Source organism: Homo sapiens, chromosome 6, assembly GCF_000001405.40.
Source record: "Homo sapiens chromosome 6, GRCh38.p14 Primary Assembly".
Lineage (NCBI taxonomy): Eukaryota > Metazoa > Chordata > Mammalia > Primates > Hominidae > Homo > Homo sapiens.
The window spans coordinates 91,653,815-91,671,807 of NC_000006.12; the positions used below are offsets into that span (position 1 = coordinate 91,653,815).

General features: G+C 37.5%; 1 long non-coding RNA gene across 1 annotated transcript in view, besides 1 other annotated feature; it reads right to left on the reverse strand.

Moving 5' to 3' along the window:
- The window catches only part of CASC6 (cancer susceptibility 6), a 61,389-nt gene that overhangs the window by 24,775 nt on the left and 18,621 nt on the right, over window positions 1-17,993 (reverse strand). The window lies entirely within an intron of this gene.
- Window positions 435-944: an enhancer, noted in NCBI's record as "NANOG hESC enhancer chr6:92363967-92364476 (GRCh37/hg19 assembly coordinates)". NCBI's record gives its function as "activates a minimal SCP1, AML or CMV promoter by ChIP-STARR-seq in naive H9 embryonic stem cells {active_cell/tissue: H9 hESC(naive)}" and the evidence as "EXISTENCE:reporter gene assay evidence [ECO:0000049][PMID:30033119]".

Consider the following 17,993-nt stretch of genomic DNA (forward strand, 5'->3'; position numbering starts at 1 on the left):
CCATGTAACTGGGGAAAACTTTACACAGAATATCAATCAGATCCTGGTACTTGTCATTTAAGTAGAGCACAATTCTCTCAAGGCTTACCAGCCTCTCTCACAGCATCCGCCACAGCACTTAGAAATATTAACTCCTTGTGCTTTCAATCCTCAGAATAAATGAACTTCAGCTCACTCTTCTTTTTATTGTTCCCGTGGGCTCTTTTTGTTGGGGGAGGGAGAGAGAAAAGGCTATTTTTATAACGTTTTGCAAGTCAAATGACAAAGTTCAGAAGAGGGAAAATGCTGGAAAAAAATCAATGCAATGTCCTTATTTGGCAGCGCTTAGTTTGGCTAATTACTGGTTACAGGTAGGAAACACAGCTAATGGGGCTTAGCAACAGATGGGGAGCCAGCACAAAGCTGTAGGTTCTTCCTCTGCCTCGGCTGTGACTTCCTGCAGTGTTGAACAAGTCATTCAACCTGTTTTTGATTCACTTCCCTTTCACTAAATTATAGATAATAATGCCTACTAGCTATGTCATACATTGTTGAGAAGAATAGCTCATAGGAAGATCACAAAACACTTTCAAAGAGTTGAAATGCTCTATAGGCACAGGCTCCACTGAATCAAGCTGAACAGGAGGCAATGCCCCTTTCTGTCAAGTCCTCTGTTCCCCATTTAAAACCAAAACGAATGCAAATCTGAAAGTGACTTTGCATTTGCCATGCATCCCTTCTGCCTCTCAGGCATTCTATCACTAACTGATTGTAACTATGCAAATGATACTGTTATCTGTGGCACACACTGTCGTTTGTACTGCAGCACCAGCAGTTTAAAATGCTTGATGAATCCAAGGCTGATTGGCAGCTCCAAACTTATCCGTGACCTAATTTGTGGTCAAGAAGTACATGCAGATTTGGATAAGGGCAAAACCAATGACAACAGCCTTTCCTTGAGGTTTTAAAAGACTTGAAGTTTGGTTGCCAGGGATTTTTTAAAAAAAATAAATACAGTTCTGCATCTGGGATCTGGATTTAAAGCAAAATTCGTCAAATGCACCAAGAATTTTGAAGCTCTAGAGAGCTTCACAGAACAAAAGTAATCCTGAGATAAAGAATGGGAACGATTTCTGCTGCCGCTGAAATGATTGCAGCAGGATGATGGGTGGTGATGTGATGATTTCCTCATTGTTACAGAGAAAGGAAATCGGCTCCTGTGCCAAGAAGCAATGGATTTACCCCGCTAATTTCCAGGTGCTTTAAGTGCTGGATTCTGTTCCAAAATAAAAACATAAATAAATATGGCAAATGTTAGGTAACGTGGGGATGGGAAGGGAATCAGACAAGGAAACTACCATTGATTGCTTGCTGGGTTGGCAATATCATCACATTTCACAGACCATGCTACTGAGCTGCAGAGGTCAAGTGACTTGCCCAAGTTCGCGGAACTGGTAGGTGGTGGAACAGTGAGTAAAAACACACAGCCTCTGCTCTTTTCACTCTACTGGGTTGTCTTTAGGAGATGTTGTCTGGATCTATATACCAACTGCAGAGACAGAGAAGACCGCTTGACTTTCACAGTACCCCAGGCCAGAGTACAAGGGGAAATCCTATAGATGACTTGCCCAGCCTCCTGCTGTTTGGAGCTCAGCAAATTTGCCTCATGGGAAGCTCCGTTGTCTCCCTTCCTCTGAGTCCCCTCTTCTCTGACTGGTCCCTGCCAGCACTGCCTGTTTGCTGTTACTACTTCCCAGTGATCAACAGCTATTTTATGTTTCCTCCCATTGTGCTTCATTGCACTTTTGTGGCCCCTCTGCCCACCTACCTGCAGCTCACCTTCATGTTATTGAAGGGCGGTTGTGTTTGTGGCTTGTTATTATGTTCTTGAACAGCCCTATGATGTGGAACTTAAAGGGGCCGGGTTGTAGAGGAACATCCATTATCCATCACTTCTCTCCATATTTCTCACTTTCACTAGGTCCTTTATCATTGTCATATACTGGGAAGTTTAAATCCAAAATCTGAAGTCTGGCTTAAAAAAATTATCGGTTAATGTTATCTTTTAACATTTGTTGACATTAATTGAACATTTGTTATAAGAAAAGCAATATGCTAAATGAATTACGTAATTACCCTGTTTAAATCTCAAAATGACCCAATGAGGTGAGGTTTTTTGTTAATTTCATTTTATAAACCAAGAAACTGAAATTTATGGTGATGAGGTAGTCTGCCCAAGGTTACAGATATAGTAACCTGCAGAACCAAGATTCAACCTCAGATCTGGCTCACTGCAAAGTCCTAACTGAACCAAAGTATTAACTCTACCAAATTAACTCCACCAACTTTGTGCATCTGTATATGTTAATGTAATTGCTGGAGTCTTGGTCAGTTTCATCTTTATATTCACAGTTTTCAGCACAATCCTCACTATGAACTCTGATGAATTAGCAAATTTATATTGTGGCAGAAGGATTGAGAATCAAAATGCAAATTATACACTTACCATCACAAATCTGATGCTGATTTGTTGGATCAATTTATAAAATATGGACCAAATTTGATTTGTTTTTTGATATGCCTGTAATCAAAAATATTTCTGTAAAGATATTTCTGTAATCAAACAAACCTGGTTCTATTATCTAACAGACTGAGATCCTTGCTGTGTGGACACAATTCAGACCCGCCTAATAGTACCTTGGGTCAACAGAGGGAAGTCTGCAATGGTACTGACAAGTGTGTGTGTGTGAAGCAGAATGTGTTTTGCAGTGCAGAGCTGTCAGACTAGAAATAATGCATCAAGATGCACGTTCTGGGCAACTTTAATGATGCTCCCATGGGTATTCTTAGTGCTATGTTAAGCATGGCACTTATAAAAACCTCACATTGGCGCTTAGAGCTTCTGGAAGATAGTTCAATGTTTTGTTGTGTAGCTAGGCTTGCAGATCTTGGTTATGGCTTGAAGGTAAATAAGAGATTAAAACCTCCACTTCTAATTACTCAATTTTGACATTAAATTTCAATATTTATAGAAAAGCTAGAATTTCATAAATATCAGATTATGCCAATATCATCAATGAACTGTTTTCTTGGAATTACTTAGATCAAGCAACCAGTTCTGAAGGTTACTTTCACAATTTTAATTAGTAAAAATGCTTCTTACTTATTGAAAACTTGAAGCTCAAGCAATAATCTATCTATTGGTAATAGAGAAGCACTGCTGAATAATGTTCTGTGTCTTACAAACATATCTTATTGTTTTGAGCCATTAAATGCTGATATAGTAGTTGCCTGCAGCATGCTTAAGCAATAAGCCATGATGAGGTACTGTACCACTCCTTGATGCCTGGGGTACATCGTCCAGAAGAGTTTTCTAATCACGCAAAAAGGAGCAACTCCCAAATATATTATGCTAACTAACCGTTCCTTTCCTACATGATAATCATCTAGGTTGTTTATTATATATCTGTTTAAAGAATTACCATGTATCTTAAGTCAAGCAAAACCACATCAAATATTTGCAGCCCTAAACAATTAGAAGAAAGAACAATAATTCTGATGCACATATCCTGCTTTGGGTATTTCAAGTTTTGTTTCATTATTTCATGCCCTCAGCTCCCTCCGTCCAGGGATTTTGTCCCTCCTGTATCAAGGCTTCTTTCACCTCTGTCTGCAGTAACACTTTCTTCTTTTATTTTAGATTTTTAAAAAGCTATCTCAGGAATTTTGGTGTAGCTCCTGATTCAGCTGTATTGATGGTAATTGAGAGGGGAATACAAACTGAACTCAAGTGCAGCTCCACTTAAATTTACTTCCCCTGAGAGAAGAATTTCCAAAGCTGCCAGTCCAAGGGTTTCTATAAAATTTGTGTTTGTAAGAGCAGCACTTCATTATATTTTGTTCTTTTTGAAATCATCTAGAGTACTATGAAAATTATCACAGCTTCCAAAGGAGGTTGGTAAAGTTTGTCTGTCTTTAAGAGAAAACTAATGGGTCTTGAGAGCTTTCCCTTTTGTTTAAAAATAAACACTGATATTTCTGAATAAAATATCGTGACTGCACTGTCATTCTGTTTATAGACCTCTCCACAGGGACATTCTTCTGCACTGAGAAAATCTGTGAAGATCATTGCTTTTGGATTTAAACATGATGGGTAGCCCCTGTCCCTTTTATATCTTTATTTCTGTATCTGTAGATATAGATGTACATATTACAGAGCTAGAGATAGTGATATTCACACTGGTAGATGTAGATATAGATATGAATGAATTCAACAAAATGTCTGAGAGATGACTAGTGGCCCCTCACAAGGACATCTGACTTTTGCATGGTATGTACTCTTTTGAATGAGATATGGTCACAATGACACTTAAAACAGATATCATTTTGAGTGACAAACTGTGCCATCCTTACCATTTTCTTATTCTGCAGTAGTCCATTGGCATTAAAGCTGCCTGCAAAGTTGTAGGCTTGGTGATCTGAATGAGAAGAACTAGGGAATAGATTTCTATAAAAACCTGACTGCATAATTTAATCGGGCACACATTCAGGGTATATGAAATCAGAGCAGAGATAAGTAAGAGTGTCACTGCATTTGCATGTTCCGATTAGATCGAACAGCATAAAGAAAAAGATTTCTTATCAGAGAAGACTTCACGATGGAAGTTACATTTCAATAGTAATTTGAATGAAAGGAGAATTGATGAGTTGAAAACTGGTAGGATACCACATTATGTGATTTAAATAAAAGGCTAAATTTTAAAATGTTATCTGGAAATTTTGGAAGACTATGCTTTTTTAAAGTATTACATTTTTATTTAAAGTATTAGGATTGTACTTAATCACACTCCTGCATTCGCTGACCGTGAGTTGCATTAATGTGAAATCATGTAAACCAGATGAGAAATGGGAACAGTCTTTAGGGTGAATGTTACCCACGATTTTTGCTTAGCCCTAAGGGTGACAGAAATTACTCTATCTGTCTTGTTGATCAGTCCAGGGTCTTCTTTTCTATTCTCTCTGTCTTCCAGAAATATTCTATCAAAATAAGCTAACATTTTCTTGAACACCTTTTTTTCCCATTAGAGCTTCCTTTCTTCACTTTGGTATAATTCTAACCTCCTGGTTGTTAGCTCATTTGACCACTTTTTCTCAGCACTTAGCTATTCTCTCACTTACTAAGTGACTTAGATTTTTGACTTACTCCTGTGCTTTGTATTTTAGCTTCTCCTACTCCACAGGGGTGTTTGTTTCCCTGTTCAAATTCTCTCTCTCTCTCTCTCTCTCTCTCTCTCTCGGTCTTTTCTTTTGTTTCTATCTTCATAGTGGAGGAGGCAGAGATTATTATTTAAGAAGTACTATCTTCCTCTTCACTACTGTTTTTTCTCATACATCTCTTTGTAAGTGCTATAAGCAGTTTGGGCTGATGTTGAGCAGGAAAAGGAGACTCTACTCTTCTTTTGATGAGTGGTGTCCCTTCAGGATTCATGATATTTATAAGCAGAGGGAGAGGGAGAGGTGGAGAAATGCAGACCATTAGGCTAGCACTGGAGAAATCAAGGGAAAAACTGAGATTCAGTCAAGACCAAACCAGGGGGTACACGCAGGTAAAAGAAGGGACTTCATATTAGGAATAGTCCAAACCTGGGACTGAATCGAAGGTGATGGCTGTGATGTTCCGCCTCTGTTCCCATTCAGGACTTTGGTGCTTATTCTTCAAATTCCTGAGTTTGCTGCTAACAGTTCATAACGAAGCCTCTCTTTAGAAATTGTTCTTGGCTAGAAGAAGCTTCCTTGCCCAATACTATGCCCCCTTTATAGGAGCAGCTTATATCCAAATGACAGCTGATGCAAACCTCAGTGTCTTAGAATCGGGGAACTTGGGCTCTGGCATGTATGATCCAAGATTAAGACAAGATAATGTGTTGTCCATATACGCAACAACATGTGGTACATCATTTCCACATAGTTTATGAAATAGAATTTAGAGAATGTACACATGTAATGACTTAGCCTCCAACATATTGGGCAGGAATTCATAAAGCAGCGATGTCCCATACTTTGGGTGTGTGAAGGGGAAAGAATAATAGTGCCAACACAGAGTGCTACCATCCCATACTGTTCAAATAAAGTAAAGGGATCTCTGTTTGAAATTCTATCCCTAAGCAATAAGTGACTCTTCCATTGAAAACAGTTTAAATCCTCTCAAACAGCATGCTGATCCCATTGAGAGCTGACACAAATCATATGCTTTTTAACACAGAACACTTGGTCTAGAGTCAATGAACCATGGCTTCAGAGCCACTCAACACAGGGAAGGGCATATGGGAGGAAGGGAAGTCTTCCATGGAGACCGATGAGTAATTACTTCACAAAGACTGCAATTTGATCAAGGACACATTTTAAAAATCAAAATATTATAACACAAAATGACCTAAGAAAACTTAGTTATGCACACAACTCTTAGGGTATTTTTGGTGAGAGTGTAGCTGCTGATTCCCATACTTCCCAACCAGATAATAATAAAAGCATGGATCAAATTCTGCCACCTACACTGACATATATTAAACAGTCACTTATTAGCAAAAAGGCACAAAACATTTTAAACAATACCTACTATTTGAGATGAACAAAACCCCAGTCTCTTATCTTTGTAGGTGCTACTATTATGCTTTGCACAAAAGAGGTACTTGAAGCCCCAGACATGACAATATTCCAGAAACCAATGCTGGACACAAGACCCTTGATCAAACCTCAGTCACCATTCCTGAGGGTATGCCCTAAGGGGTTTGCTAGAGTTTCATAGGCTTCTCATGAGAGAATAGAGATTGTCTTGGAAATAATTAAGCCAGTCCACATATCTGAATAGCACTACTTTTAATTGAGAAAGCTGATTTCTAAAATATATTAACATCTGCGTCAAATCACCAATTTTACCAATGAAAGCACATTTTAAAAATATATTAACCTAAATAGCAAAGCTCTATGCTGATCAAAGTTATGAATTGCTGAAGTTATTACATTCATTTAACCATAGGAAATTGATAATATTCAACCATGTTTGATCAACAAAAATGGCATCTGGGAGTGTATTATTTTTTAATTAGATATTTGATGACTTTTGGAGTGAATTTGTAATTGGGCAACTGACTACCTCTAAAGTGGCCATCATCTACATGGCCTACAGTGAGATATATTTTAATGAATTCTAACTATAGTATGAAATGGTAATAAGGGAACTGAAAGAGCAGATATTCTTAATAGTCCATTTCTTGTGGGAGAAAAAGAAAGTGGGAGAACAGAAGAGGGTAATACTGAACCACAGCCATTTGCCTTGCTGGCCATGCCACAGGTGACTATCACCAATTTGTTAGCAAGAAGGCATGGCTCTCAGGAGAGCGTGTGGGATAAATAAATTTCAGTGAATCCTTTGATTATTCCCATAAAATTCTGGGTAAAAAGAGCCCATCTAGGTACTACTCCATGTAGATAAGTGGACCTCTGACTACTACAATCAAAACCCTCCTCTGCAGCCCTTGTATTTCAGAGAAAGCTGTCTTATTGAAGCATATTTATTTATTTAGATGTGAAATAGGTTAAACTATAGAGTAATAGGAGCAAGGAAACAGTCAAGGCCCCTATAGGTTAAGAGAATTTAAGAGTTAATACTTTTTTAAAGATCATCAAATTGTACTTTTGAACTGTAATTACAGATATAATAAAAACTCAATCAATAAAATAGACATAACAAGACTCACAAGACTACCATTCATTGATTTTGTAAGCGTTCCACTAGTACATTTGATGTGCATGGTGTCTCCAAGTATTACTGATTTAAGAATCTGTTGCAGGTTGAAGAAATGCTAAATCAATCTTGAGAATGGTGACATTTGTGCAGAGTGATTGGCCTTTGAACATCATTTATATCTCAGAGAGAAAACACATTTTAGTACTAATAGCTAAGAATCATGTACATATGTATCTCTATAAAAACAATTCTCACAAAAAGTAATCTAAGGGAACATCAGAATCCTCTTAAATTTTGGAAGGAAGTAACTTCCAAAGGAATAGCACTGCTTTCAAATATCTTTTATCTTTAGTGTTTATTTTTGGTATTTCATAGGCCCAGTAAGAAATATGAGAACATTATAATAATCAAAGTACCTGGCTTTTCAACATTTTTTTCTCAAGCTCTATGAGTAATAATCTCTGAATAAAGATCATGTGAATCATAATTATTCTTATCTTTTGTTCTATAATTGCTTTTGGGGGATATAATTTTCTCTGAAAAATGTTGAAACTAAGACTAAGAGGTGTTAAATGAGTTGGTGAAGGACACATGGTTCCTTAGTGGTTTCTTTTTTTTTTCAACATACTTCATTTAATAAGCAGGCTTCCATGGCTAAACTCTCTTTTGCTACAAGAAACTACTTAAAGAAGAAGAAAAAATAAAACAAATATTTATTGAGCACCATCTATATGTTATACACCGTTTCTTATGTTATAAACTACCTATTCTCCTTTTGTAAACATGAGATTTTGCAAATTAGTGTAATTAAATTAACCTGGCTAAGGTCACAGCATAGCTCAAAAGTCCTCATTGAAATCTAGTAGTCTGACTCCAAAGCCCATGCCTTTTCAGTTGACTAAAAGTTTCCCTTGCCAAAATGAAGACACCTGTCGTCAATCATCTAAAAATGTTAATAAGTCATTCCTGTTTTCCCTCTGCTGAGGCTGCCACCGTCACCTAGCAAAATAATTATCTGCTATGAGTGCTATGAGACATTTGACTTTGCTGCTCTGATTCTTCAATAATGAAATATTTAAAAAATGGAAGCTAGGAGTAGCTTTAGATAGATGGCAAATAGCCAGGGAGTGTTTGTAGGACTATTGCCTTGTCTAAAGTCTGGCTCTAGAACTTCAATTATGCTGCACACTCTTTTTTTTTTTTTTTTTTTTTTTTTTTTTTTTTTTTGAGACAGAGCTTTGCTCTTGTTGCCCAGGCTGGAGGGCAATGGCACAATCTTGGCTCACTGCAACCTCCGCCTCCTGGGTTCGAGCGATTTTCCTGACTCAGCCTCCTGAGTAGCTGGGATTATAGGCATGAGCCACCACAGCTGACTAATTTTGTAATTTTAGTAGAGACGGGGTTTCTCCATTTTGGTCAGGCTGGTCTCGAACACCCGACCTCACGTGATCCGCCTGCCTCGGCCTCCCAAAGTGCTGGGATTACAGGCGTGAACCACCGTGCCCGGCCTGCTGCACACTCTTTAGGTGCCCAATGACACTGGAGGTGATGGAAGCCCCATCGGCACCTATGACCAGAGCATGCAGCCTTCATTCCCACCTTGTCAGGGATGTTCTCAAGACCAGAAGCACCATGACCAGTTTTGAAACACTTTAGAGCATACGTTGGCCTTTAGCTTCAACCCTAAGGGACTTCATTTTTGTTCCTGTTGTACATAAGCTCCGTTTGGAAGCCATTCCAGGTGACTACACTGACAAGGCAGCCTAAGTTCAGGGAGGGAAGCATGACACTCATCTACTTTAAGGCATTTTCTTGCCACCTGGTGCTGTCCATCCAGGGAGAACCAAATTAGACCAAACCACTTATTGATCTCCTTTTTCTTGTTATTAACGTTTTATTTTAATGTCGGGGAGATGTGTTATTTTTCAATTTTTTTATTAATTTTTTCTATACTTCTTATAATTGTATTTATTTGCTTATTTTTTGGACATGAAAATTTTAGGGATAGATTTTTGTTTATTTAAGTGCTATAGAAACTAAGGGGAGAAATAAAAAGTGTCAAATTATTGAGTTTTGCAAACAAAACTATAACAAAAATCCAAATAAAACCTTCTTTGTTTGGGAAAAGTAATAAAAAGAAAATGGATTTTAAAATCAGGCAAGACTGAAGTTTGAATGCTGGCTTCACCACTTGAGATTCAACATCTGCTCAGACCCATAAAGTTTATCATTTTGAAAGTGGGAGAAACTATCTACATTGCAGAGTTGATAAGAGCACTAATGATGATAATGTATCTGATGTGGCTTGGCTGTGTCCTCACCCAAATTGCATCTTAAATTGTAGCTCCCATAATTCCCACTTGTTGTGGGAGGAACCTGGTGGGAGATAATAGAATCATGGGGATTGTTTCTCCCATACTGCTCTCGTGGTAGTGAATAAGTCTCATGAGATCTGATGTTTTTATAAGTGGTTTTCCCTTTTGCTTGGCTCTCATTGTCTCTTGCCTGCCGCCATGTAAGATGTGCCTTTTGCCTTTCACCGTGATTGTGAGGCCTCCCCAGCCACATGGAACTGTGAGTACTTTAAACCTCTTTTTCTTTATAAATTACCCAGTTTTGAGTATGCCTTTACTAGCAGCATGAGAACAGACTAATACAGTGTCCATCACAAATACCTAGCCTGTGGGCAGCATTTAGTTAATTGTGGCTATTATTATTTACCTGTATTACTGGTATTGTTATTTTCTTCACTGGTCCATTGAGAAAGTTACTGGATCAGAGATTCATGAAACCTCAAGCAATAAGCCATGGTACATGGCTGAGGTGGAGCAGGCTGTCATGTCTATTACACTCCAGGAGCCTCCAAGGTGCAAAGCACATTCTGCAGGGTATATCAGAACTGTTCTCCCTTGGTTCCTCTCTCTCTTTCAGGTTCAAAGTCCCCAGTGAGTCACTTGGGTAAGTGAATGCTCTTGGACTTATGTCAGTCTCCTGGCCATAAATAGTCGTGATCAGGCAGGAATAAGTAGAGAAGTACAGAGAGCAGAGAGTGGTGTTTTTACTACCTTTCCAGATCTACCACATCCTCTACATTGTGGCTACTGTGAAATATTTAGAAAGTTTTTCATGTCACTTCCTGCTTAAATCTATCTATACTTGGTATAAAATCTAAATTCTTCATCAGAGCCTGAAAGTCTTTATGTGACCTGAAACTCCCTGTGTCTCTAAGAACCTCCTATATGAGACCACTTGTTCATCCTAGTCTAGGCACCTCTTGCCTCATCTTAGATTCTTTCCTTTCTGTTTCCCCTATGTGAATCAACCTGTCCTTGGTGCTTCAAATGGCCGGCTCCTTCTCAAACTGCATATCTTGACTCAGATATCTCTCATTTGCAGAGACCTTACAAACTCCTTCTCTCTGAATGAATACTACCCAAGCCCCCTATTATGATTATTTCCTTTTGTTCTTTTTTTTGGTCTCACTCTGTCACCCAGACTGGAGTGCAGTGGCGCCATCTCTGCTCACTGCAACCTCTACCTCCCAGAGTCAAGTGATTCTCGTGCCTCAGCCTCCCAAGTAGCTGGGACTACAAGCGCCCACCACCACACCTGGCTAATTTTTGTATTTTTTTAGTAGAGACAGAGTTTCGCCATGTTGGCCAGGTTGGTCTCAAACTCATGACCTCAGATGATCTGCCCGCCTTGGCCTCCCACAGTGCTGGAATTACAGGCATGAGCCACTGCACCTGGCCCTTACTGATTATTTTGTATTATATTGCCATTTATTTTTGCTGTGTAGCTTTCTTGAAAAGTTACAATTATAATTTACTATCTTTTCTGTGCTTTCTAGAAGAAATGAATTTGAGGACAAGAACCACCATATACTCAGCCTAGTACATAATAGGCATTCAATAAAGCAGTTGTTGAATAATTTTATGTTCCTGGAATGCAGGTGTGTAAGATGAGAATGGCAAGAGGTGAGATGAGAGAGACACACCTAGGAGCTACAACATAACAGCTCTTATACTCCATACCAGGCTAAATATTTTTTTCCTTTTTATTTTCTTTTCCAAAAGGAATGGAAGTTTAAGGACTATGAACAGATAATAGCATAGTCAGGTTTATATAATATCTCAGGTATAATATAATTTATATATGGACTGAACAGTGGTAGGTAGATAAAGCAGAGGTGAAGAAACCAAGACATTTTAAAAATATAGACCTGATAGGAGTTGGTGATTTATTTGACTAAGGAAAGAAGAATATTAGAAAATAATTTTTGATCATTAATTGTTGATTATTCACAGAATCTTATTTATTCCTGTAACTGATTTTACAATTAAGGTATAGTGACTGATAATCTCTGTAAAAAGACTCATGGTTCTTCACCTATACAGACATAAACTTTTCCTATCTTATTGAATGTCAACTTTAGGGCTGATTTTAAGAATACATAGGAATTCACATATGTATTTTCAGCTGGTATAATATAATATCATTTCAACAACCCCACAAACTCAGCTTAATCCATAGTTCAGATTCATACCTTTGTATTGATTAATAGTCTATTATTTTGTTTCCACAAACTATTTTAATAAGTCATTACTAAATCCTGTGGCCAATGGTACTCTTCAGAGATCTCTATGTACAATGGAACTTACTATGACAGAAATATTTTACAAATTGTCTGCTGCCTATTGCTTACATTTCAGTTTTTTATCTGGTTATTTCCTGAAAATTATAAGAAAACACTTCAGAAAAACAACCAAACACACACAGTTATAAATGAGCTTATGAAAGAAAATTTCAGTTGGAAGAACTGCACCATCCCAATTGCCTTGATATTCTCGTTGACTCTTTTTCTTTTTCTGAATTTCCCCTCTCACAGGTTTTCTCTTAGAGGTGATTGTGGGCCAGATGAGTCTAGTAGGCAGTGTACTGTAATTCTATGGCATCGTGGAGTTCTTCTCCAGTAAAAGAGATTTTTAGACCCAGGCCCAGGGCCTTTGTTTGAGTTAACCTATCCATCAGTTACATGGATGCTCTTTGTAAAACTTGACCCTGAACAGGGACCAGTTTTATTTGAATATTGTCGAGCTTATTAGCATGACTCCTTTGAAATGCTATCTTTTATGTTACATGTTTTCTCTTCTTTTGTTTCCATTCTTTCCATAGACTTTAAAAACTTCTGTTTCGGTGAATAGAAAACTCATTTTTTTTTTTCTTAAATCAAAAGCTCTTGCTCCTAAAGAATATCGAGTGCATTCATATTTTGCGATTTAGGGCAGTGCTTGGTGTTACCTTTGTAAATCAGATAAGTTTGGCCTACCTAGAGATGAGTGACATTCAGTGTGTTACTAACTCCTGCCAGTTTCCCAGTTAACCCCTAATGATCAAGCCAATCTCGTCACCCTCATATCCTCTATAGGGGGAAAGTCTAGATAGAAAATGGCTTTCAATTTAGGGTCACAATTTCACTTAATAAGAACATTATAGTGACCTTGTTTTACAATGATTTATTTTTCTCCCTATTCTAAGTCTTACTTAAAACACATATGCACCAAGAAAATATTTTTCTTTGTATATTTTAAAATAAGATTTCTCTTATTATAATAAAGGTGATAATAGATCTTTAAACTGACATATTTAGAAAATACAGGGAACAAAGAAATCACCCTATATGTCTTTCTGGCCTAGCATCCTTCACTGATATAGCAAAACTGAACTTCTCATCAAGTCTTGTGACAGTCCTTTATGTAACCTGCTGCCTCATTGGCCCAGCTTTTGCAGTTTTCCAGGAATTGGGGCTTCTTTTCTGCTTTGAGTGCTCTTTCCTCAGAACTGCACATGCCTGGCTAACTCTCAAATTTCAAGTTTTAATTATAAAATAATTTCAACAGCAGGACGTTTCCACCTAACCCATTAGACTATCCTGAAGTTTTGTCAAATTTCTCAATCTTCCAGCAAAAGCCAGAAATTCGGATTTTTAGGTGAATATCTCCAAATTTTGAATGTTATCTAATTTAATTTAAAAACAAATACTATGCAAGTCAAACAAAACTGGCCATCTGCTAATCATATTTGGCCTGTTGATGACCAGTTTGGAACTTCTGGCTTACCGCAGTCAATGCCTAGTGTGCTGATTTGCTGTTTCTTTAAAAGTTACCTTCTATTGGAAAATAAGCTCCAGGAGAGCAGGAGCCTTATTTGTCTTCTCGGTGCTATTTCCTCAGCACCTGGCTCACAGCAGGAATTCAATTAATATTGGTTGTACAAACGAATCTCAAAACCCGAAAATAACATTTTAGAATCTATGTATTACCTTTTCCTCCAAACAAACATTAACAAGAACAACAACAATAAATAAGAAATTTTTACAGTATGCATTTTCTGGTAACTTGATCTCACAGTTTTTCAACTGCAATTCCATTATTACTGTATATTCTCCCACACTGTGGATAGTAAAATATTAGATTTTAGCTGCTCTATAGAATTGCCAGAGGACTTTGTTGATTGCTTTCTACCCTCATTATTCTACACATTCTCAGCATTTATATGCACCATGAATATTGTCATTTGGTTAGTGTTTAAATTGTAGCTCTTTTTTGAATATTTTCCATGTGCACCTGCTTTCCTATTAGGTACCGAATTCTTCAGGAGGCCAGAGACATAGTCTCAAAATATGTATTGTCCAGATAGGGTAAGTTAAAGTATAGTTTTAGTCTGGTTAGACACATTATACCATGAATTACAAAACAAAATACAACTGGGCCATTTTTGGAAGCCTGAGTTCAGGTTGTTGACCGAGAGACCTGGGTTCTTATTCCAGCTCCACTACTAATTATGCAGCCGAAGAATTTCTGTCCCAATATTTTTTCATGTGCAAAATAAAGAAGCTAAAGTTAATTGTATCTAAGTCATCTCACTCTAGAATGGCTACTACCAATAATAATAATAATAATAATAAACCCAGAAAATAACAAGTGGTGGCAAGAATGTAGAGAAATTGGAGCCCTTGTGCACTGCTGATGAAAGTGTAAAATGGTGAAGCCACTGTGGAAAACAGTTCCTCAAAATTAAAGAAAAGGATTACCATAAAACCCAGCAATTACATTTCTAGGTAAGTACCTCAAATAAGTGAAATCAGGATCTCCAAAAGGTATTTGTACACCCATGTTCATAGCAGCATTATACACATTAGACAAAATGTGGAAGCAAATCAAGAGTTCATTGACAGGTGAAGAGATAGACTATATATGATATACACATACGATGAAATATTGGTCAACCTTTATAGAAAGGAAATTCTGACATATGCTACAACATGGATGAACCTTTAGGACATTGTGCTAGGTGAAATAAGCCAGTCACAAAAAGGAAAATACCATATGATTCCACTTACGTAAGGTCATCAGATTCATAGAGACAGAAAGTAGAATGGTGGCTGCCAAGGGCTGAGGGAGGGAGATGGGGAGTTATTGTCTAACAGGTATTGAAGTTTCAGTTTTGCAAGGTTAAAAGCATCCTGAAGATGGATAGTAGATTGTCATTATTGCACAAAAATGTGAGTGGACTTATTACTGTTGCACTGTATACTTAAAAATGGATAAGATAATTAATTTTGAATTATGGGTATTTTACAAGTAAAAATAATTAAAAGTGTACCTGAGGACACTTCTTGGTAGAATGTTTTACAATTCTAGAAGTTCTCATGGAGACCATGCAAAGAGCAACTTTCAGGCTCTTCCTCAGCCTGGTACTGTATTCCCTAAAGGGGAGTCAGGCTTTTGGCAGGTCCTCAACCTCCGTCATCTGTCCCCCAGTTCTGTGTCCCAGAAGACAGAATAGACACCTGATTCTCTCCACCCTGATTACACGTTTCCATGAAAACAAGCAAGTTCTTGTAAATGATCTTTTCTTCTATGTTTAAACTGAAGGTTTATTCTTCCTTTTCTACTTTGACTAACACATTTCCTGGCCCTTAGCCTAGTCAACCTCCAAGCAGAGTCATGGCTTTTTTTCATAGGCATTTTATCCTTGCGTCTCAAAGAATCAATCCACCCTCTTCTTTCTGCTCCTCCTGCACATTCAGTTCCCCTGAGCTGTGTTCAGCTGTCAGCCTCCGCAATGAGCGGCACCGATTCCCCGAGTTATTAGGGAGCACTTGGAGCGTCTCTGCAGCACTGATACTGACAGTTGAACACACAGGAGCAGCTGGCTCAGTGGGGAAAGAGAGGGGAGGGAGTGAGAGCTATTCATTGCAGTGTATTTATAACTTGGCCCGGAAAGCAGGGATGGAGGTATTCAAATAGCAAAGGGTGAAAAGACATTTTATCCTAATTAAAAAGGTAATTAAGTAACACACCGAAGAATTTAAATCAGTGCTCTTGGTTTTTATGACAGGTCTGATGGTATAACTACCCAGAAATCTTTTTGGAACAACAAATGCTGCTTCTTAAGCTCTGCTGCTTGCTGAGTGGCCACCTATGGATGACAAATTACAGTAGGAATCCTAGGCAAGAGTGTCTGAGATAAGTAAAGATTTCTCTCAAAGGAAAACATTGTATACAGGCATGAAATCTCCAGCTCGCCCAGATTAAAGCTCTGTGCCCACGTCATCACCACTGTCTCCTCTCTCCCTACCCACACTTCCCATCCAAACTGACCTGATCAATTTAATGATTACCTAGAAGATCTTCTAGTTTTCCCATACTCACTTCTTTTTCTTCAGCCTATTCTAATTTATGGCATTTCCTGTTATGGTCTTCAGTGGGTTTTTGTTTCCAAATATTTACAAATTAAATGTAGTTTTATGTATATATATGTGTTTCTTACCATTTGATGCTGCATGTCCTACTGAGGTATTTCTTAGAGAGTGAGGAAGTAGGCCATTGATTTCAATATCAAGTTCAAATGTGTGAAAATTCCTAAACAATTGCTAGTCAGCCTTTGAAAATTTCAGGAGTTTCTTTGCAACTAACAGTCCTGAAACAAAAATTTAATTATCTCTTGCAAATATTATTTTAACCAGGTGCTCTTATACATTGCCGATTGTTTTGAAGTACCATAAATTCATTATTTTTCATCCATTCAATTTCTTACTTTGTGAGTACTAGTTTATTGTTTTCTTTGGATTACACCTGTAACAAGTTTATAATTATCTTCAAATTTATCTGAGTTTATTGTCCTACATATAAAATAGTCACATGTGTGTATTTATATATAATAGTGTTTTGTTTCTACAGATGAAAATATAAGACATAAATGTAAGGCTACACACATGTACATACAGTGTGAGATTTAATATATATAACAAATATTTTATGCTATTTAACATGAGAAATATGGACTATCTCTTAGTAGGTCAAAATGATATGACAATTACCTTTTTCTTTTCTTTTTTTTTTTCTTTTGAGACAGAGTCTCACTTTATCACCCAGACTGGAGTGCAGTGTTGTGATCAGTGCTCACTGCAGCTTCGACCTCCCAGGTTTGAGCAATCCTTCCACCCCAGCCTCCTAAGTAGCTGGGACAACAGGTATGCACCACGATGCCCGGCCAATTTTTCTATTTTTCCTAGAGATGGGGTTTTGCCCTGTTTCCCAGGCTGGTCTTGAACTCCTGGGCTCAAGTGGACAATCACATCTTAATGTGACTTACCAACACAAAATACAATAAAAAATATTTGGATGTGAGTTATCCCTATGAAATGATAGTCCTCATTAATTTGCATATACATTCTTTGGACTACTCAGGTTATTAAAGAAAAGTGGAAAAGATGTTTATAATACTGCATTTGTTTCCTATATGAAATGAACCATATCATAGCAAACAGTCTTTGGGTTACGAAGAATATTGAATTTGTGCTTTGCCAAAGTAAAGAGCAATGCCAACAGTTTTAGTCTCACCTGAAAGGATTTATCAGAAAAAAAATATATATATATATACAGCACATTCATATTATTCATCATAGTTATGTCCTGTAAAGTCTCTGCAAACACTGAATTAGTGAATACTGAACCATTGCTCCTAGAGGAAACACAGGGTTAAGTTCCTGGCAGCCTCTGGTCGCAATTTTATCAACTGTTCAATACATAACTTTCTTCTATGTGTGTTTTTTTTGTTTAAAGACACCTTATTTAATATGTATTTTTGATACATTAGCTTTGAACTCACAGCCAAAATGCTATAGCTCATAAATGAGCAAAGCTTATCTAACACATGTATTTTCTCCATAAGTCATAGCACAGTCTACTTTTCCCTAAGA